General features: G+C 40.8%; 1 protein-coding gene across 3 annotated transcripts in view, besides 1 other annotated feature; it reads left to right on the top strand.

The window, feature by feature from the left end:
* CSMD1 (CUB and Sushi multiple domains 1) overlaps positions 1–22,704 on the top strand; it is a 2,059,554-nt gene that overhangs the window by 835,410 nt on the left and 1,201,440 nt on the right. The gene's annotated exons all lie outside the window — the stretch shown is intronic.
* Positions 21,128–21,356: a silencer, noted in NCBI's record as "fragment chr8:3995671-3995899 (GRCh37/hg19 assembly coordinates)". NCBI's record gives its function as "represses an EF-1alpha promoter that drives an FKBP-Casp9 reporter gene in an ReSE screen in HepG2 liver carcinoma cells {active_cell/tissue: HepG2}" and the evidence as "EXISTENCE:reporter gene assay evidence [ECO:0000049][PMID:32094911]".

Raw genomic sequence — 22,704 nt, 5'->3', positions numbered from 1 at the left:
CAGTTTCTTTATCCACTCGTTGATTGATGGATACATTTTTACAGTAGTGAATTGTGCTGCCATAAACATTCATGTGCAAATACCTTTTTCATATAATGACTTCTTTTCCCCTCGGTAGATATCACATAGTGGGATTACTGAATCACAAATAAAAATATTTCCTCCATTTGAGTACTAATAATGGACATTAATTTAGCTTTTAAAATACTTGAGGTATAAATTAAACTTACACTAAATGCTACCCCAATGAGTAAAACATTTCACGGTTATCTATCAATAAAGAATTACGGGCTGGGCACGGTGGCTCATGCCTGTAATCCCAGCACTTTGGGAGGCCGAGACAGGTGGATTACCTGAAGTTGGGAGTTCAAGACCAGCCTGCCAACTATGGAGAAGCCTCGTCTCTACTAAAAATACAAAAATTAGCTGGGCCTGGTGGTGCAAGCCTGTAATCCCAGTTACTATGGAGGCTGAGGCAGGAGAATCGCTTGAATCTGGGAGGTGAAGGTTGTGGTGAGCTGAGATTGTGCCACTGCACTCCAACCTGGGCAACAAGAGTGAAACTGTCTCAAAAAACAAATAATAATTATAGAAAGATAATCTTTCTTTTCAGCTGGAAACAGTAGTAAACTGAGGACTTGAGATTTCAGATTCTGAAAACTGACTTCCTATTATTGGATTCTACATCATCCCATATGATAAACTTGGGAAAGTTCTAAAATCCCAACACTTCAGTGTTCACACCCATCAAGTGACGATGATGGTGGTTCTCATGGGGTTGTGATAAGGACTGAATGGGGTGGTTTAGGAATAGCTGCTGGCCCATAATACTCATTATTACGGCGTTGATCTTCCACTACCACCAGCAACGCCACTGTGAAAATTATCATTTCTGGGCCAGAAAAATAAGAAGGAGGGGAACGAGGACTGTTCTGTCATAGTGAACCTAGGACACAACCTAGCGGCTGTGTTAATATTACTGTTTCTTTGGGAGTTTTTCCAATATCCTTTTGCCATACTGATGACTGCACTAGCGGCTGTATTAGTATTACTGTTTCTTTGATTTTTTTTTGTTTGTTTGTTTGCAATATCCTTTTGCAATAGTGATGACCGCACTAGTGGCTGTATTCATATTACTATTTCTTTCGGGTTTTCTTTGCAATGTATTTTTGCAGTAGAGATGATTGCATCCTTCCTCCAAGGGCTTGACATGTACTTCTGTTGTTTAGTCTTCCCGATGTCTGCAGAGCTGGCATGGGGGCATGATCCTCCGTCCTAGCATCAATGGTGCCAAAATAAGTATGTCTGGGCTTAGGAAAGGAGAGACTTCACTAAAAATGATGAAGGCCGTAGGGAGAATGGTCTGACCTCAGGGACTGCAGGGATCTTAAGCTCAAACAGAAAAAAAAAAAAAAGGGTTTTCTTGTATTGTAATGGGGAAGCAGGGGTAGGGGTAGCAGGAGCTTTGAGCAGGCATTGGTTCCGTGTATGGGGGCAGTTGAGCAGGAAAGGGTCCTAGCAACAGTTGGCCAATCTCGGCATACGTTGCTAAAAGATGTTCTGAACCTTACAGCTTGCTTAACCTCAGGGACAAGCCCAAGTTCAGCATCCTGTTGTCCTGTGGGGAGGATAGGACCAAGCCCAACTTCAGCATCCTGTTTTCCTGTGGGGAGGATAGGAGACTGACTAAAGCTGGACCAAGGCCCTGGGCAAGTTCACCCAGCTGTGAACGCTGGACCAGGCAGGTCAGCCCTGGCCCTGACTCCTAGGAAAAGGACGGCCAGAGGGACAACTGTGCAGACCCACCCAAGGCCGGTTGGGCGTGAGGGGATGCCCTCACCCCATGCCCAGATAACAGAGGTCTGAGCTGTTCTGAAAATCAACTCTGCGTGAAAGATTTGCATTTGTTACATGACCGGCAGAGGGTCTTAGCAATACGGGGGAATGACAACACAGTCATTGACTAGAGGTAGCTAGAGCTGCTTTAACCAGTTCTTTGAGCCTCTTTCTCCGCTAGTCAGAAGGAAGGAAGGAAGGAAGTGAAGGAGGGAGGGAAGGAGGTAGGGGAAAATAGAGAAAGAAAAAGGACGAAAATAGAAAATTTTCAATTCAACCTTTGAGCTGGCGTGAATAAACATTTTCTTCAAAGAAAATGATGGTAAATATCTTGGGCTCTGCCCACCCTGAGTTGCTGGTGCAGTGACCCAGCTCTGCAATTGCATCACTAAACTAGTCACAGACAGGATGTAGACAAACGGGCCCTGTTGTGTTCTTATAAACTCCTTCTGTGGACACTGAAATGTAAATTTCATACATCGTCACTTGTCCCAAAATCTTCTTCTGATGTTTCTTCTACCACTTAAAAATATAAAATACACTCTTAGGGTTTCCACAAGATAGGCAGTGAGATTTGTCACCCTGGCCATGGCGGGTCCATCCCTGTTCTGGTCTACAGGCTCCTTGTGTGCATAACATGCCCCTCAATGCCTGGCCACCACCCCTACTTAATATCATCTGGGATGTATGCATCATCTGCCAAGCAGTTGCAAAGTTGGTTGGATAGATAAAGTTTCGTAACCCTCACAAATGTCCGGAGAGGTAAGAAAAATGCACTCCATTTTATGTATGAGGAGACTTAAGCTCAGATAAATTAAAAAGCCTCCCTGTGATTGTGTTCATAGTACTTGCTGCTCGCTGCTGGGATCTGTAATTTGGGCCCTTCCCAAAAGTCTGTACTGTCTGGATTTCCTGTTCAAAGGTTGAAGCTGTCACTGGCCCCACTGCAAACTGCACATAGTCTCTTCTTGGGCCCCTGACAGTACAGAAAATTATCTTAAATCACAAGCAGATGGGTACCTGGTATCACCAAATAGCAAAAACTACTGTTTCCCATTGTTTTTAATATTGTCACTAACTGAATGCTTTTGGGTATGTGGATAGAAGTGATCTTTTAGAATTTGAATTTAGTAAGTCAAATAAGAGGAACTTACTTTATTACACATAAGGAAGATAAAGAATTGGACATAAAAATGCTCAATAAAAGAGTTAGCACCAATAGCATATTTATCCTTTCTTTCTCAAGTCAGTACAGAGACTCATTGAGAAATTTTATGGACTTGCCATTGGCTTCTGCATTCATTTAAGTTTTATCAAAACCAGAGAGAACATAAACTTTGCACGGCCGTTCAGAGCCTTCATTGAAAAGGAGAAAGCATTTTCAACCCCATCAACTCTTTAGCCATAATTAAAAAGTTAGTAAAAAGAAAGATTTTGCTACCACCCCAAGGATATCACAGTGATCCCAGTCCAGATATGAAACCTTGTTCCCACACCCCTCACACAACGAATTGCCTCTGGGTGGTGTGAGGCAGAGGGACTCTTAATGTCAGGATCGGATGATTATTATGCTCTGATAACTCCAGCCAGCCCTATTCCAATTCCATTTCTGTAGGAATCTATGGAGCTCATCTGAGGAACCAGGCCACTGGGTCTGTGACTCCATTAGGCTTTTTTGATGTTTATCAGCAGACTTTGGTGACTTGATGATTAAAATGTGCAGCTGCAGAACACCTGGGCTGTGCATTCCTCAAAAGCTCATTCCCGCACTTACTGGGAACAGAGAGGGCTATAGGATGGCACTTTTTTGTTGTTTCATTTTGCCTTATTTAAGAGGATTTAATTGACTTTGCAGCTTTGTGTATTCCCCTTTGTGGCTCTTAATACACAAATTACTGGAAAGATCCGGGGATCAATGACAAAAGCTGACACGGAGGAATGTTTCTGTTGTGATTTGACGAAGTAGAACACTGTTGATTAGAAATTTGCTTAAAATCTGTCACGTTTCTTTGAATGTGTATTATGTCATCAGCTAACCAAGAGTGATAAAAAATCAAACCTTGTCTCTATCTGAAAAAATGACTCACAATTTAAAGATAAGAACGTTCGTTCTAAGACATGGCCTAAGACTTAACTTTTTTAACCATTTAAGTTTGGCGTTTAAGAACGATACTTTCCCTTGTTTAACTAGAAGGAAACACATACTTACCATATTTTCATTTCCCAAACAAGGTTCCTGCCAAACAGAGGCAAGTTCTGATTTATAAAGTAAAAGGAATGTGATCTACAGCAGAGCATTAGAAGCAGCGTGGCTGTTTACCCTGCGGGAGTCATGCAGGTGAGACTCTAATGCGAGACCCAAACGCTGATCTTGCTGCTCCACCCCCTAATTCACACCCGGACTTATTCACCTCTCTGCTGCCCCTTTTCAACATTTGCGTGACCCAGTCATCTGGCTCTGTTACAAACTGCAAAAGGACAATCCTGGGCAAATTATGTAAACAGTCAGTGCCTCTTTTATCTCATCTGTAGCATGGGAACAATAGTGCATGCGCGTCATGTGGCCACTGTAGGCATTGCATGAGTTCAAAGCACAAATCGGGCCTGGAACAGGACAAATTCTGCAGCAGTGTTAGGTTCTGTGATGAGGTTTATCACTGCAGAAACTTGCAGTCGTGTTTCTGGAGTAGCATTAGGGTAGCCCACTTAATTTTCAATATAACATTTTGTATTATTGTCAATAGACTTGGAATTTAGAAAAATGTATCACTTCAACAAATATTTGTGGACTGTGATGCAGCTGACTTGGTATCAACAAATCAGAAAGCTTTCACTAATTTATAATCGTGCCTCTCTTTCCAACATTCAGTCTTTCTCTTATTTTCTCTGTGATCAGTGATATTCATATCTTACGGGGATATTAGCCTTACTTGCATAAGGTAGGTCTACAAACATGATCTCTTTTTCCTTGTACGTTTTTAATGAGAATTCTCAGGTTATCAACTAAGGGACTAGAATACAATTCCTTTTTTAAAACTTTTTACTTAGGCCTTTTGTAGGCTCATGCATTCCTATTGCCAAAGACCTCACCTCTTGGCCCAGCTCACGGCGTTAGAAGCATAGTGTCCTGGCTTCTGCTCTTTCTCCACAGTGGCTCTTGTCTGCACACAGTTTTGAACTTGGGGTAAACCATTCTCCTTCCACAGATACCCATTGATTTTCAGCTCTTTGAGGCAATAAAGTGGCATCTGCTAAATGCCTTTGTCTATACTTATACAATAGATTAGAGATATATGTCACAAAACATGGACATTTGCTTGACTGAATACTCCTGGACTACATCCTTTCAACTTAAATAGGAAGCTGAGAACAGAAACATCTTATTTATTTATTTATTTTTTAGCATTACTGTTTGCCAGAAACTTTATTTCATTGTATGCTTACACTAACCTTGATATTATTCTTCCTGAATAGATGTGGCATCTAAGGTTATAGATCTCCTATCATAGGTGTAAAATTGTATATCTCACCCTCAGCTGTCGCAGATTGTGAAGCCAGACTCCTGACTCTTTGCTGTATTTTCAGTGTTTCTTCCAATTTATTTATTACCTCCTTAGGAAAACAAATGTGGCAGCAAGCTGAAAATACGGTGCAAAATGAGGATGGAAAGCTATCATTGGATTCTGCCTTCTCAGTAATTTGCTGTCAGTAATGCAGAAAACACTTGAAAGCAGGATCCACAGTGCCTCGTTGGCTGGGTTAGATGATGGAATCTGAGATGTTAGTTTGCTGCCATGAGTCAGGAAAGCCACATAGCTACGGTCACCACTTGCATGTGACGTTCCGTCATTTTTTGTTTCAGACACAAATACATAAAAACTGTGTTTCCCCTGACAAAGGGTTTTAGAGCACAGGGTCACCACACTGAAACCGTGCCCACTGCATGGGTTCTTATATCTGTGGGACTGCCGGATTGATGGAAGCGGAAATTCCAGGCAGTGACGTTATGAGAAAATAAAGGATGTCAGCTGCCTTGCAAGGTGAAGAGAGGAAACAGAGCAGGGACATCTCAGGGCACCCTGTGACGGAATGCAGCATTTCCCATGATTGCGTGGAGGCCGCTGCTGACGAGGGACCAGCTGGTGCTTTGTAATTCAACAATTGTGAGCAGAAATGTCAGAAAGACTGGGAAGCAGAGCTGCAGAACCTTATCCACTGGCTCATCTGCTAAGTGCGGGGCACAGGCAACAGCATGAATGAGGCTAGGGAACCTAGAACTGCAGAGTATTACACTGTTGCTTCCAGAATGTAGAAAGAGACACAGTCAAGTTCACAAAACGGGGCAATGTCGGAAGTGAGAAGAGCCCGGAGATGAACTGAGTCAAACTTGGACACTCTGTCTTTATAGCCGTATGTATCATTTCTGGCATACTCTCCAGCTCCCCTTGGGTGAGTTGCTGAGTTAGCGGCAAAGCAGGAACTGGGCTCTGCTTATCTTATTCCTGGCATGGTCACCACAGTCAAGATTCAGTATTCAATACAACATTGCCATTTTCCTTTACGGCTACATTAATTACACATCTGAAAAAGAATCATACCCCCTTCAAAAACTGTTAATAACACGTTACAAGTCATTTTACAATTGTAATAAATGGTATGCACTTGCTACGAGATTTGTTCACCTTGTCATAGCAGAAAAATGAAGGCAAATACCATTTCTAAGATTTTGAGAAGAGGATAGAGTATACACCTTTCATAAAGTTTTTGAGAAAAATCTTAAGTCTAATTTGATGTTAATTTCTCATTTCTCCATAAATACACATGCACATACATACATTCCCTACTCTCTCACTATACGTGTATGTGTGTATATTCCCATAAAAATGCATGCATATATATTTGATTATATGTATATATTACTATGGACGTATATATCTATTGTGTGTGTGTATATGTAAAGGATTTTTTTTTTCTTTTTTGAGACAAGGTCTCGCTCTGTTGCTTGGGTTGCGGTGCGCTGGCACAATCGTGACTCATTGCAGCCTTGACCTCCTAGGCTCAAACGATCTTCCCACTTAAGCCTCCCAAGGAGTTGGGAACACAAGTGTGCACCACCATGACTAGCTAATTTTTTTTTTTTTTTTGGTACTCTCTGTAGAGACAGGGCTTTGCAGTGTTTTCCATACTCCTTGGCCCAAACTGCTGGGCTCAAGCAAGCCACTTGCCTTGGCCAAATTGCTGGGATTACAGGTGTGAGCCACTGTGCCTGGCCTAAGTAAGGGATTTTAAAAACATTAGTACATAAGCATTCCTGCTTACGTGTCTACCTGATTTCTGTAAATATTCAATTCAAAAAGCTGATTTATAACTGGAAGTAGATTTTTAACCATCGTATTTCTATATTACCATCATAGAGCATTCTCTTGAGAAAGTGGGAATAATGTTGAAAGTGTATGGTGTTCCTTCTTCTCCAAAGATGTAAGAACTATGTTAGCTACAGTTTTATAAATTATCCAATTTCAAACAATTATCGTTGATATTTTTCTATACAATTTCCTGTATATTACCCATATAAATCTGGACTTTGGGAAAGTTCTTAATAAAGGGAAAAAAATTAAAGCATAGTCAAATGAAGGTATCGAGCTAAACACATTGATTACGTTAAAATGACCCCCTAGCAAACCACAAGCAGGAAGGATTGTAACTGCTTACACCTCCCATTGATTTTATGCAGGCAAAACTTATCTCTGCTGATAGACAAATGGACTTCTCTGCCCTCTAATATTTAATGTGTGCCTGCAATAGAAAAGGTACATGGAAATATAATTGATTCATGCTATATATATAAAAAAACTTCGAACAATTATTTTTCATATAAAATAAGCATTTGCAGAAGAAATGTGGCACTAGGAAAAAGCTACAGTCTTCCTCTAGTATTTACCCGCTGTTAATTTATCTGTGTGAGCTTGAGGAAATCAGTTGGATTTTTTTCACCTATAATGTTGACATAATAATAATGATGCCACAGATTCTTGATAACAAAGTGAAACTACATGTCACAATCCATGAGAAACATATCTGACAAGGATAACATTTTAATTCCCCATGTTAATTTAATGTTATGGTATAAGTCTATGATAAAGTTTCACTACCAAAATCTTCCATTTGGTTCACTTCTGTATAATGTGTTTGTTAAACTAGATATGGGTGATTCAATATCTTATTGCAATTACAAATGTCTCAGAATTTATTTATATTTTTAAAGAGTATTTTTCTTGGTCAGCAGGATCTAGAAACTGAATTGTAGTTAATGTCTCACTGTAAATAAGTGATTTATCTCTTGAAGCATTGATCTTAGGATCTATAACAAGGCAAATGATTTACACATGCATGGTCTAAAGTAGTCTGAATATTTTAGCTTTCCAAGTAAACTTCACCGTATTTATACTTGATATTACAAGAAGAGGTTATGGTAACAGAAAGGATTTTGCCTGAATTCCTTTGCTTTCAAAGATTGGCTCTTCTAATGTATTTGGTGAACAGGGATCCTAATATCTTCTGCTGGGAGAAGGATGCAAGTTGCACCCTGGCACCACCCGTAAACTTAGCTGTAGGCTCCTCAACCGTTTTATTACGTCTGCATATGGGACACAATTTCTCTTGCATCATTTCTCCAAAATAATGTCTAGTCCTGTATCTGGAAGACTTTTACTGAAAGTTTGGACGTTGCAGACTGTAATTAAAGCACAGGAGAGGGAACAAAACATTGCTCTTTCTCAGGCGTTTCTCAGCAGGACATTTTTTTATATTTATAATCCATATTGTTAAGGTTATTCTGTCCCTCCCTGTCTTCTCCCAACACCTCTGCAAGTGCGCAAACTACACATTTAAATGATCTTTTTAGATAAAGCAGGTTGGTTTTTGAAATTCCTTTTTAATCTGCATTCTGAATCTGCTTTCCACACCCTAAGGTTCTAAACCAAATGCTAAACACTCCTTATCTGCACCCTAACCATTTGGAAAACTGGAAGAATATTGGAATTGCAGTTAATGCTTGTTGTTTGGTTTGTTTGCTTGTTTTACCTGTACCTGAGTTATGAATCCTTCAGCAGGGTCATGTTAATTCATTACACTTGGAAGAACAGAAAGAGAAATTCTGCCTTCTAGAAGATATCTCTGTTGTGAAAAATTCTGTTAGCTGAAGTTCTAAGCCCCGGTAAAAGGCACTGAAGTTGTCAAAAGCCTGCCATCCAAAGATAAGAGAGTCCACATTACTTCCAAAGGTAGCCAGGCACAAAAGACAGCTGCAGACACTGAGTTAGAATGGCACGGGTTAGAGAATTTAGAGATGTCCTTCCTAACAGGGAGCTGAGGAAGCTTGGAGACTTCTACATCTGGGGAAAGGGAATGCAGGCTGGAGGGAGGTGCATGATGGAAAAATGGCCCTGTTTTCCTGGGGCCGATCCTGTGACTACAAGACAGATGCCTCAGGACATACCTGGATTTTGTCTATCCTCAAGATATCACAGTTTATTCCTTAAAATACACAATGTGGAAAATACACTCCCTTAAAAAACAAACGAGTTCATTTTACTTACATTAACTTCTTCACCCACAGCAACACGTGCCTTTTACGTGCAGCGTTGAGGATATTTTAAAGGCATCCATCAGTCTCTCTGACTTCTCTGTGACAGTGCTGAACTTTGTGTACCACATCACAGAATTTCCTGTTGTTCACAATTTAACAAAACACCAAGAGGTAGATTACTGAACATTAGAGTGGACCTGGGTCAGCTTACAAATAATCATTATGCATTTAATTTATAAAGAGAATGAACCAATTAAAGTGGTATTTTAATAGGAAATTCTCAAGTGACCTTCCCTGAAGCAACTACGACACATCCAGCAAGGCCTGGCTGGATGCTTGGAGTTGAGGTTATTTGGAAAATGTTTCTGTTGGAGCTCAGCATCACTCAGCATTGTTTATTCCTTCAGTGTAGCACTTAGCATCCTCCATTCTGTAGGTGTTGAGCTAGGATGATTCTACAGACAGAAGGACCAGTTGTTTATTTCCCTTTTAGCATAAATCTGGTTCGGATTTTGATCTGTACTTAGAATTAAATATTTTTGGTTAGTATTGAAATGGTAGTTCCCTGAGTATTTACAGTCAAGATTCCAGATAGAGTAATCCTTCAAATATATTGGAAGATTTCCTTTTATTGGCCCTTATGTAGAAATACCGTTCAAATATTGCTCAGAGCTATGGCAGTTACCACCTAAGATATATTGGTTTTATTATACCAAAGTGTATCTTTTTAGAAATGCAAACTGGAGTGATGTTTTAAAAATTCTCAGTGAATATGTGAAAGCTTATCTTTACTTTTTTTAGGAATATGAAAATTACGGGCTGGGCATAGTGGCTTATGCCTGTTATCTCAGCAGTTTGGGAGGCCGAGGTGGACGGATCACCTGAGGTCAGGAGTTCGAGACCAGCCTAGCCAACATGGGAAAACCCTGTCTCTACTAAAAATAGAAAAATTAGCTGGGTGTGGTGGTACACGCCTGTAATCCCAGCTACTTGGGAGGCTGAGGCAGGAGAATCGCTTGAACCTGGGAGGTGGAGGTTGCAGTGAGCAAAGATTGTGCCACTGCACTCCAGCCTGGGCAACAAGAGTGAAACTCCATCTCAAAAAAAAAAAAAAGTTAATATGAAATGTTTAATTACAGGTGAAGTTAGGTAGTCTGAAAAGTGCAGATGATGGTGAACTATGTTGGGAATGGAATGCAGGCTGTGTCTCTCGACCATGTGCCATCTTTCCCAGGACACAAGCCAAAGGCAGCATGAGGGACTGAATCATGACATCCCTTCCCAATGCACCTGTTGAAATTCTAAACTCAGGGTGATGGCATTAGGATGTGGAGCCTTTAGGAGGCAAGGAGGTGATGAGAGTGGAGCCCTCGCTGTGGGCTGAGTGCCCTTACTAGAAGAGACACGAGGGCACGCTCCTCTCTCTGCCATCCACAAGGTGAGGATTCCAGGAGCAGCTACTGTCTACACACAAGGCTCTCACCAGACCAGACAGCTGGTCTCCTAGAGCTTGAATGTCTCAGCCTCCAGAACTCCAAGTAGCCAATGCGTTTTTTTTTTTAATTATACTTTAAGTTTTAGGGTACATGTGCACAATGTGCAGGTTCGTTACATATGTATACATGTGCCATGTTGGTGTGCTGCAGGAATTAACTCATCATTTAACATTAGGTATATCTCCTAATGCTATTCCTCCGCCCTCCCCCCACCCCACAACAGGCACCGGTGTGTGATGTTTCCCTTCCTCTGTCTATGTGTTCTCATTGTTCAATTCCCACCTATGAGTGAGAACATGTGGTGTTTGGTTTTTTGTCCTTGTGATAGTTTGCTGAGTTTTTCATTTTGTTTTAAAGTTGCCCAGTCTATAGCAACTTATAACTTACAGTTAGTTATAGTGGTCCCAGCTGACTTAGGCAGGAGCTGTTATTGACTCTAAGTTGAGCTTCACCCAGAGCATGTCACGCGCATCAAAGATGCCATCTGTGTTATGTTTTTCAAGAGAAAAGTCTTCCTCCTGCTTGTATATTTCTTTACCGTAAAGGTCATAGAACAGACTATGGGAAACAATCATGGAACCCGTGGTTTTAAGACCTAACCTCTACTCAGGGCTTTGGTGCATCTTCTGTGGGTTTCTACCTGGTGCACCCCAGAGTTTGTGCTGCAGGAGCCTCCGAGGCTTTGAGAAGAATCACATGCAGCCCCTGATTCCATGAAGCTCAGCTACCATTTCCAGACCAGAGAAGTCTTTCTGATGATGTGTCTTCCTGCCCGGCTTTGGAGTCGGCACATTGGGTCAGGCTCTGATCTCACATGGCAAGTCCATGGCTTGCCGGGGGTTGTTAACCTAGGTGAGCTTCAGTGTCTGCATCTGAAACCTGACCATGGTGATGTCAGATATTTCAAAGAATGGGGTTCCCATGAGCCAGCACTCAGAGTAACCTTCATGCACTACATGCCACATGTCCAGCTGCATTAGGGAACCGATATTATTTATTAGGGTCATTATCATTATCCAGAAACAGGTTTATACATGACTAATTAAAATGCCTAAGGAGGAGGGCTCTAATGGAGACAGGAACAGATTGTGGTGGGAGCACAAAGGCAATCATGTAGGGTATTGAAATGAGGCGTGGGACTTTCCAGAAGGTAGGTGGAAAAGCCATTCTAGACAGGGCAGCATGTGGGGAAGGCAGTGTGGAGGAGAGCACAGCCACTGAGGACTGAGGGAAGAAGGGTGGGGCGCAATAGACAGGTGAGCATACAGAAGGCTTCCCCTTCCCCGCTGGGAACTTTGTATGGAATTACGCAGGTGAGGAGGAGCCGCTGAAGGATTCGAGGTAGGCAGCAGTCAAATCATGCGTGCTTTCTTTTTCAGTAGTTGTGTGAGGGAGTGTTGCCTGGTGGTGGGGGCAGGGGGGGAGAGTAGAAGAAGAATCATGTGAGGGTAACTGAGGAAGAGATTGGTCAGGAGGGGATGGTTCTAAACAGTCATTGGAGTGAGGACAGCTGGAGTTAGGGCAGGAGGGTGAAGGAAAAGCCCAGAAAACCCCCGATCTCTGACTCTCCTGGCCTCTGAGTGGATGGACAGGAAGTGCTGGCGGAGCTCTTACCTGATGAAGATGCCTGATGCCGGTGAGGTGAGTTGACTTCCTTAAAGTTCAGTGTGTCTGGCCGGTGCGGTGGCTCACACATGTAATCACGCCGGCACTTTGGGAGGCTGAGGCGGGCGGATCACGAGGTCAGGAGATCGAGACTATCCTGCCTAACACGGTGAAACTCGTCTCTACTAAAAATACAAAAAATTAGTCGAGTCTGGTGCCGGGCGCCTGTAGTCCCAGCTCCTCTGGAGGCTGAGGCAGGAGAATGGCGTGAACTCGGGAGGTGGAGCTTGCAGTGAGTCCAGATCACACCACTGCGCTCCAGCCTGGGGGACGGATCGAGACTCTGTCTCAAAAAAAAAAAAAAAAAAAAAAAAAAAAAAAAAAATGTGTCCATATAAACATTTAGACAGATAATAATGGAGCTTCCTTCCCTGGAGTTGTGGTGTTTTAACCAGAGAACACACACTGTGCACATCACAACGTCTGAGGAACTGGGTAAACAGCCTTTTCAACATTGTTAACTCTACACTTACTGCTGAGACACATCCTGGGTACACGTCTTTGGAGTCTGCTGTGCCACATTATCAACCCCGAATTGCCAGCTCTGCAAGTCGATGTTGGGCTGAAGCTTATCAGAATGAATCCACCTGCTTTGGATGTGTCAGACACCAAGCAGAGGCTATGGCACTGTGCCGACTGCACTACGCGAATTACTGCCTCGAGTGGATGAGGGTCCTGGGAGAGGTTTTCTCCAAGTTCATGTTTCCAAACGATATCACCCTTTTTTTGAGAATCGACTTGGCCAGCGGAGTATGAGGCTGGATTATATGTCACCCATCATATGTAGGCTCTGAATTCCTCACCGACTGCCATTATGTTGGTGTGTGGGAGGCAGATACATGCAATTGCCTCCCTCAAGTGTCTGCAATGTTGCTAAGTGTTCACTCCCCAACAGATTTTTTTTGAATACCTAGTTAGTGCAGGGTACAAAATTTGCACCCTGTCTACAAATGACAGCGGTAACAAGAAACAGCGTGGTCAGTCTTACAAACAATGGGGCCAATCATGTGCCAAGGGATGAGCATTGAGCAAGACATGATTTTGAAAACTCAACAAATTCAAAGCTGGTGTGAACGGCTCTGCTTCCTGGAAGCCATTCCAACCCTTGCATTCCTCATACAGAAAAACTCTTCATGGTGCGAGCTGACGCAGAACCTGCAGGGAATCAGTGTTGACTTTGGTTCCTTGGGACAAGTCAAATATATGTTCTTCATTAAGAAATGCGGAATGTGGCCAGGTGTGGTGTTGTGAGGCTGTAATCCCAGCACTTTGAGAGGCCAAGTGGGCAGGATCGCTTGAGCCGAGGACTTTGACACTAGCCCATGCAACATGGTGAGACCGTCTCTCCACAAAAAATAATAACAATGTAATAATAAAGAAATTCTGAATGGGATTCAAGATGACAATGTTTGAGGGTGACAGGGCTCACATGCCGTCTAGTTTACCGTATATATTTCAATACAAAAAATATATAGTAACCTGTAGATTAAGTCACTTTTCCCAGATTAAGTCACAATTGCCCAAAGAAGACTATAGTATATAATGTTTGGGACATTTTTCCAGATCTTTCTGACATATTGGATCATTTTTTTCCTCAAAAAATGGTGAGTACCATAAAGTTCTCAACAAGAAAGCATTGGAAGTCTAACTCTACAAGTTCCAGTTATACCTGTCCAGGTCATGAATGTCCTATTTGGAAAAGAGGATCTGTACTCAATATAAACACGTACTAGTGTTTTAGTAATTGAATGAATGGGTTCGTGCCTTTTATTACATGTGTCTAAACTATTATATCTGCGCCATGTAATTATATTCTTAACCAAGTTACATTTTTAACATCCTTAAATCTTTGTATTTTAGAAACATTTAAAAATATTTTAAAAGCGGAAAAGTAGAAGATAATTATTATTTATATAAAGTAGAGAACGTTTTATGAAACAAATGCTATCCTCCCTTCTGTTTTCAAGTTAGAAATGATTTCTGGGGTCTCTGCTTCACTCCACTCACTGATAGAGTCTGAAAGCCTATTTTTTAGTTCTATTTCAGCTTCTCCCAGGGACACAATTCCCCTGGTTCCCTGCATTGTGAATGATTGCGAATGTTGCTTTTTGGTGATGCAACTCTTACTGACAACCTGGTAAATCCATCATTCCTGTTCTCCTATGTCTGAGAAGTCTCTAGAAAGTTGGAAGAGGTCAATGAGGAAATCTCCACTCTTTGCCGAGTATGTAAAACCGCACAGTCGGGACATAGAGGTCCTGCTGATTATCTCCTGATAAAAAGAAGCTCCAGACAAACAAGAACAAGCTTGTCTTCACCTCTTTTATGACTTAACAGTAGCTGAGCAATCCAGATAACAATTAGGAGACTCTAACCAGATTCTGGAGGGAAGGGGTAATGAGGTGAAGCATTTAGACTGGAGCCCTCAAGCGGATATCCATTTGCAGAATGGGATATGCTCATGGAGCAGTTGAAACTAGAGAAATGTGATTCTTCACTTCAGATTTTTCCTGGCAAAACAGAAAAGATAAATTAAGTTCTAAAAACACACCCTTATCAGAAAATTACAGAAGAAAGAAGAGAAGTAGAATGAATATGGCCAGGACATGTTTAAGTGGGGTATCCTGTTTAAGTGGGGTGAGTGTGAGGCAGAATAAGGTCTTGAGGCAGGGAACTTACGGCCAGTTTGTGCTGAATCAAGGAAGAAGCCCAAGATCTAGGGGCAGGAGGTCTAAGGCCAATTCGTGCTGTCTTCCCAAAGCTGTATCAGAAGGGAAACATCTGGGTCTGGGGGCAGGGAACCTAAGCCCAATTAACTCAAACTTTCTAAAGTTAATGGAAAGGAAAAACTTCCGTCTCCCCATTTCCTAACAACAAAGGATCAAAGGCTGCTTTCTCTATAGCCCTCCTCCTTCCACCGTGTCTCAGATGGAAAGGGAGAGTGCCTTGGATTGGCTATGGGCCAAGCACTGGCCATCCCTTCATCTGCAACACGGGCCAATTCACCCCAGCCTTTAATTAGCCAGGGACCAAATTCTTCATCCAGATAAGGGGTAACTGAGAGGGACCTCAAAATAAGTACTTAAATCCCAGAAAACTGTGTAACTAGGCCCTGGAACAGCTTGCTTGGGCCCCCTCCCACCCTGTGAAGTGCTTTCTGGCTTTAATAAATCCCCCCTTTCACAGCTTCCTTCCTATGTTTCTTTCCTTTGTTACTTTGTGTATCTTATCCAATTATTCTAAATGCCAAGAACCTGGAGAACTCACAGTCAATGCTCTCCTTCCGGTATCAGGTGTACCCTCAGAGTGCCATGGGCATCACAACTAGTTAAAGGGGTTGACAACTGTGGGTCATATCTAAGCCTTACAAGTATACAATATAGATTTGATATAAACTTAATATCAACTTCTTCTTTAGTTTAACCAGCTTTAACTATGAGCCATATATTAAACACCTCCTGTAATAAAACAAATTTACCAAAGGTATCCGAACTTTCAGCCTGGGTTCCACCTAATTAACTTAGTCTGTAGCAAAAAAAAAAAAAAAAGGGATAAGACGTCATTATATTTCAGCAGCCCATGAATCAGATTTGAAGAACTGGAAATAAAAAGCAATACTACAAAGCTGTGGCCTGAAGGAGAAATTTCTTTGAGGACAAATGGAAAAAGATAGTGCTAACCCTATAAGAGGGTTTAGACCACACCGTTCTGTGGACAGGGAAACATTCTCAGCACTTACCTGTTTTGAACACTCACATTTGCTAGTGCATTTGTTTCTCTAGAAATGCTAATTCCAATCCTCCATAGTTTCCCAAGTTAATAGATGAAGATATCATGTCACTAAACTTGCTTCATTGTGTTCATTTTGTTTGTGTGATTGGGTTGGAATTGGACACTAGTTCCTAAATGGAGAGCATTTTTTTTTTTTCAATCAGTTTGAAAACTAAGCATCTGATAGTTTCTGGGTATTTCTGTTTATGATGCAAATACTTCAACATATGACCTAAAAATAATTTCTCCTATTGTGTTGTCAGCTACTAATCATATTATCAAATGATGATATTAGAAACAGCACAACAATTTAAGAAATCATTTTCCTCTGTTAGGCTTTTAAAAATAAATACGAGACTTTGTTGAAGCCTGTTTTGCACTAATGAAGTGATTGGCAAGTTCAATGTAATCTCACGTTGTGTCAGGTCTGGCCTCTAGGAATGCCCTAAACCTCAGCCACCCAATAACTGCAAAGAAGCCACGGCCAGAATCAGTTACTGTTTTCTCTCTCATTTGCAATTAAATACAGAGCCAGTGCTGCTAAGCTAGCAATTGAAAAAAACGTGTTTTTCTACCATATAATAAAAATGGTCATTTTAGTGTCTGAACATGTTGCTAAACTTAGAATTCATCTAGAACAGCTCCTTTTTCACGAGCTTGTGAATTTAGCAAATAACAAGGTAGATTATTCTCAGAGGAGTAGAGGGAAACTAGTTCTGTTATGGTAGCAGGCAGAAATATTGACCCAAAGAAAACTGTCCTCTCCCTGAGGCCTCTAATATTTGCCTACAGCCAAATATCATAACCTCGTAGAGTAGGCTAATGAGGTGGATAAAGATAGCAAATCTTTGGGAGCATGAAACATTACCTTATACCAAGAGTAGAAGGAAAACCCTGTTGTATTAGTAAATTAAGTATCACTATAATTTGGCTAAATATAAAAAATGTTTTAATCTGGTGATTATCTTGAGTCATGATGGTATTCACCAGTATCATTTTTAACATATGTTTTACATATGTGGATATCTGCTAACAAATGTTGCTTCAAACATTAGGGAATGTTCCAGTATGGAGTTATTTTTTTTTCAACTTATATATTCAAACATTTAAAACATCTTTGAATATAGAAGTTTTGGAACATCATTGAATATATAAGTTGAGAGAAATTTAATGTCATAATTTATAAACAAATTAACACCATGATGTTATTTTGGATAGCATAGCAAATATCACACTCTAAGAAGTTCTCATGTTTTCTTTCCTCCTTGTAGGATTGGTACTCTCAATATCTAAATGGTACTGTTAGTCACGATAAATGATGAATTATATGTTCAGTTAGTCATTGTAAAATAGAGTTCACAATATGTTTCACTTCTGTGTATTGTCGATGGCATGGGATGAATCACTGTATCCGTTTTTAGTTGCAAGATTATTAGATCAGAATTGCCTGCTCTCCAAAATTTAAGCAATTTCTGGAGAAGTTTAGAGATCTGGAGATTTAAAAAACTTGTGAATTAGGGTGAAAATATAGTGGAGGAATCGTTACAACTCCATTTCTTAGTACAGTTACTCGTTCTGTACAGGTTTGTAAGAGCTTCTTAACCCCTTTGTTTGTACATGTGTGAAAATGTAGCGAATAACTCTCAGGATTATTGTGAAGACCAAATGGCATATTGTATACAAAAGCAGTGTTAAACCGTGAAATGCTATCTAAATGATAGGTATCACTGTGTTTCCTTTGTTTAGCCAAATCTTTCTTTAGCTTCTTGGTATTCTTGGAGCATACAAGCTTCATGAGCATACTTCTCTGAACAGTAGTAGCTTCATTTCCCCTTAATTTCCATCTTGGGAATTACGGATTTTTCACTACCTGAAGGTCGCTGGAATTTCAGCATCAAGCTTATTCTTCAGTATCTTGTAAATGTGAAGGTTTCCAGTCTTTCTGATAGATCACAAGGCTGGGAATAATTTTTTGAAACTGTGAGAGACACGTTCTGTTACTTATTGGAGCTCTCTTGGAGGAAACATAGGTAAGTGAGACCTATGAGATCTGAAAATGGGAAGTTTGTAGATTTGGGGGATATTTTATAATTTGTTAGAACTAAATAGATGAAACGGCAATGTTTGTAAGGAATATTACCTGTCTTTCTGTCTGCCTAAATCTTTTATGTTTTCTTCCCATTTATTGAGATACGAGGACTTTTTGTTGTTGGTGTTGAAGTTTTTGTTAGCAGTAAGTCGGCCCTACTGAGCCTGTGCATTGGCGATCAGCAATCTCCCAAATGCCCTCTTGGGCAGAGATTTGATTTGAAACCTGGAGTGAGGGTGCTGAGCCCATTTACACGCTTAGAAAATCAAAACCACCCTAGGGGAGAGCAAAGCTGGAGGGGAGGAGATGAAGATACTTAGAGTGGGGAAGACTTACAGATTGTCCAGAACACCATCCATGGGTTTTCTACTCTATTATTATTATTTTTAATTGAGACAGGGTCTTGCTCTGTTGCCCAGCCTGGAGTGCAGTGGCGCAATCATGGCTCACTGCAGCCTTGACCTCTTGGGTTCAAGCAGTCTTCCCACCTTAGCCTCCCTAGTAGCTGAGACTACAGGTGCACACCACCACACTCAGCTAATTTTTGTTTGTTTGTTTGTTTGTTTTTGAGATGGATTTTGTTGCTTATACTGGAGTGCAAATGTTTGATCTTGGCTCACGGCAACCTCCACTTCCCAGGTTCAAGCAATTCTCCTGCTTCAGGCTCCGAAGTAGCTGGGATTACAGGCATGTGCCACCATTCCCAGCTAATTTTGTATTGTTTTAGTAGAGATGGGATTTCACCATGTTTGTCAGGCTGGTCTCAAACTCCTGACCTCAAGTGATCCACCCGCCTTAGCTTCCCAAAGTGCTAGATGACAGGCTGAGCCTTCATATCCAGATGAATTTTTGTTTATTTGTTTTGTGGTTTTAGATACGGGTTTTTGCTATGTTGCTCAGGCTGGTCGCAAACCCCTGGGCTCAAGGAATCCTCCCGCCTTCACCTCCAAAAGTGTTAGGACTATAGGCATGAGTAACTGTACCTGGCTATTGTCTTATTTTTAATAATCAAATGTGTCTTCTATCCTTCCAGGCAAATTGAGGTCAGGGAGAACTATTTACCTCCTACCTGCAACCCCTGCCCACATAAACATAGTTTCACCTGCCCTTGCTGCCATCCACACTTCCTTTTATCCATCCTCTGAAGATGAGGTGTCCTCCCTTCCACCCTTGCTTCTGATGAACATGCTGATCTAAAATTTCCATCTGATCACTTTGTTCTTCTGCTCCAAGGCCCTCTGTGGAATGTCCAGTAAGCCTGTAGAACACTGAGCTCAGTGTGCAAACATCTAAGTGATTGTGCCCTGCTGGGTTCTTTGTACTCATCTACTCAAGCATCACTCGGGGCTTCCCACCAAAATCATCATTCTAACATTTGCAAATGGCACTGTTTGGCATCCCTTTGCCCTTGCATCTGCTGGTCCCACTATTCCAAATGCCCTTCCTCTGCTCCTTGTCCCCTTGATGCCCACTCAGTTCCATAGGCAGCTCAGGGAGCTATATGCAGATCGTCGTGCAGGATGAGTGCCACTCCCCTGAGATCCACAACACTGAATGCAGACCATTCATCCACGCCACCTTCCTCACTGGACTGTCCACGCCTCCAGGGCAGGCATAGAGTCTTCCTTCGTTCTTTACCTCCAGTGCTTAGCACAGCAATGTTCACTTAAAAGCAGCTCAAACACCACTGTGATACCCTCTACCTGGTCAAAAAATTTTCATTACGTTTGTAATAAATTTTCGTATAAGTATAACGACAGCTGTAAGACACAGGGTGCCAATTATGCAACACTTTACACTGATGCATAATGAAGCTAAATTCGCCTTTAAAGCACCACTAGGACACTCTTATTTTCCAGGAAGATACTGAAACTGAAACAGTTTAAGTAAAGGGTTTCATGTGATAAAACCAGTAGGAAATGGGTCCAGGATTAGAATCACAGGGGTCTTCATGTGTAGCTGTGTTGTGGTCGGTAAAAGACATTGTTGCTCTGTTTTTGGTGGCCCCAAGTCTGTCTCAGGTGCTGAAACATGCAGCATATGTCCTTTCTGCATGTGGCCGTACAGTCAACCCACAGCTCAGGAAAGATGCATGGCGAGTGTTCGACAATGTTTGTTAATATTCCAAATAAATAGAAGCTTGCAGGACTGGATTAAATTATTTGTATTAAATATAAATTAACCTTCCTATTAAATAATTCACAATATATTAACTTTATTCTCTATAGAATTTGCCTCAGGGGCAAAAAAATACCATTAAATGAAAGCCACTGTTCATAGTGTATTCTGATAATTAAAGATAACTAGTTGGTTTAGTATTTTTCCTCTAGTTAAATTGGCACTTAAAAAATGAAGAAATATTGAATTCATTACAATTTAACTTTGAAAAATAGAAATAATACTTTGAAAAGTCAACCTTAAGAGATGTTTTTTCCTTTGTTTAATTTTTTTTGTTTTGCTTTCTTGAATTTCTAAGAATCTAGGATCTGATCCAGGGGATTCTTTCTTAGATAAAATAGCCATCACTTTCCTCAAAATATGTCTCCTGAGATTTTGTACATTTTTAGTGGATGGAATGAAGGCACTTGTAGGCATTTCCTCCTGCGTTCTGTGTTTTTTTGATAGAAGGTGTTTTTGAGGCTGAGAGCTCAGAACTGGACGTAAGGAGGCAAAGTGCCAGAGCAGGTATCAGAACACTGACTCCTTGCCCCAGCTTTGCCACAACTCAAATGTGTAAATCTCAACTCTGAAGTGTATGATTCTGAAACCTGCATCTTGCCATTTAGTTTATGGCATAGCCAGGAGAAAAGGAAAACCCATCAGTTAGAGACCTGAAAAAAAAAAAAAAAAAAAATGTAAGGCTGCGCCTGTAATCCCAGCACTTTGGGAGGCCCAGGTGGGAGGATCATGAGGTCAGGAGATTGAGACCATCCTGGGTAACACGGTGAAACCGCGTCTCTACTAAAAAATACAAAAAAAAAAAAAAAAAAAAAAAAAAAAAAAAAAAAAAAAAAATTAGCCGGGCATGGTGGCGGGCGCCTCTAGTCGCAGCTACTCTGGAGGCTGAGGCGGGAGAATGGCGTGAACCGAGGAGATGGAGGTTGCAGTGAGCCGAGATTGCGCCACTGCACTCCAACCTGGGCGACAGAGCGAGACTTCATCTCAAGTAAATAAATAAATTAATTAAAAAAAATAATGTAAGGCATCCAAAAGGTAAAATAACACTAACTGAGTTTCTGACATAATGTAAGGGGAAAATTAATTTGGATTATAAGGCTTAGATTTTCCTTGAGAAATTTAGGAAAGTGTAATTTTATATAAAATACAACATCGTGAAATACAGTATCTTTATCGATGTGATCTCTTGTCTTACAGCTATATAAGAAGTTACTTTCAGTATGAATTTATATTGAAACTGCTTATAAAAATGTGATCAATTAACAGTTGTCTTTTTTGTATCTTACAAACCAACCAGTTCCATTAACATCAAATCTTGTAACCATCAAAGAAAACATAATACAAATGGAATATTAAACACTACCATAATATTTTTAAAAGGAAAAACAATGTTATATTCTGTAGTGAAAATTACCTTTTAAAATACTCTCTATTTTGACAATATATTTAATTTCATTATTAAACACAAGCGATAACTTTTGTTTTCTGTTCTTCATTAATCTATTTAGCATAAGAAGTTTGCATTCTCTATTCAACATGTCTGAGTTAGCCTGCAAGGTTAGCCTGAGTGCCACTGACACGTCCTATTTTGATTAAAATTAGACCATGTTTCTTTATCAATTTCTCATAGCTACCAGAAAAGAGGCATCATGGAGAATTAATTAAAGGCAACTGTTTCCAGGCAAGATGAGGCTAATGCTATTAGGTAGGAGGAAATGGATAACCTATTTACAGCATCTGTTATGAATGGCTTATTCTCTGTTCCACATTTTGAAAATTCTCCCAAAATAAGCAGACAACTAAGGGAAGTAGCAAAGGAAGTTAGAGCCCGAAAAGCCAACCAACTGTGATCATGTTGTAAAAATACACAGCTGCTTGGTTTCTCACTGTGCCCACATTTATTTGTTTCATTGATATAGGCTGAATATTGGTTTTGATGATATTTTAATCTAGTACTTGGGAGAAAGAGTGGCTGTGACTGTTTTCTTTGTTAAGTTTCTGTTCTCTGAAATTCGTAAATAATCACAAAGCAAACCTAGAGTTTGTCAAACATTTGGATGTCAGGATCCCTTCACAATCTT

Source organism: Homo sapiens, chromosome 8 (assembly GCF_000001405.40).
Source record: "Homo sapiens chromosome 8, GRCh38.p14 Primary Assembly".
Classification (NCBI taxonomy): Eukaryota; Metazoa; Chordata; class Mammalia; order Primates; family Hominidae; genus Homo; species Homo sapiens.
Note: the sequence above shows the minus strand (reverse complement) of the source record. Positions and strands in the feature narration are given on the sequence as shown.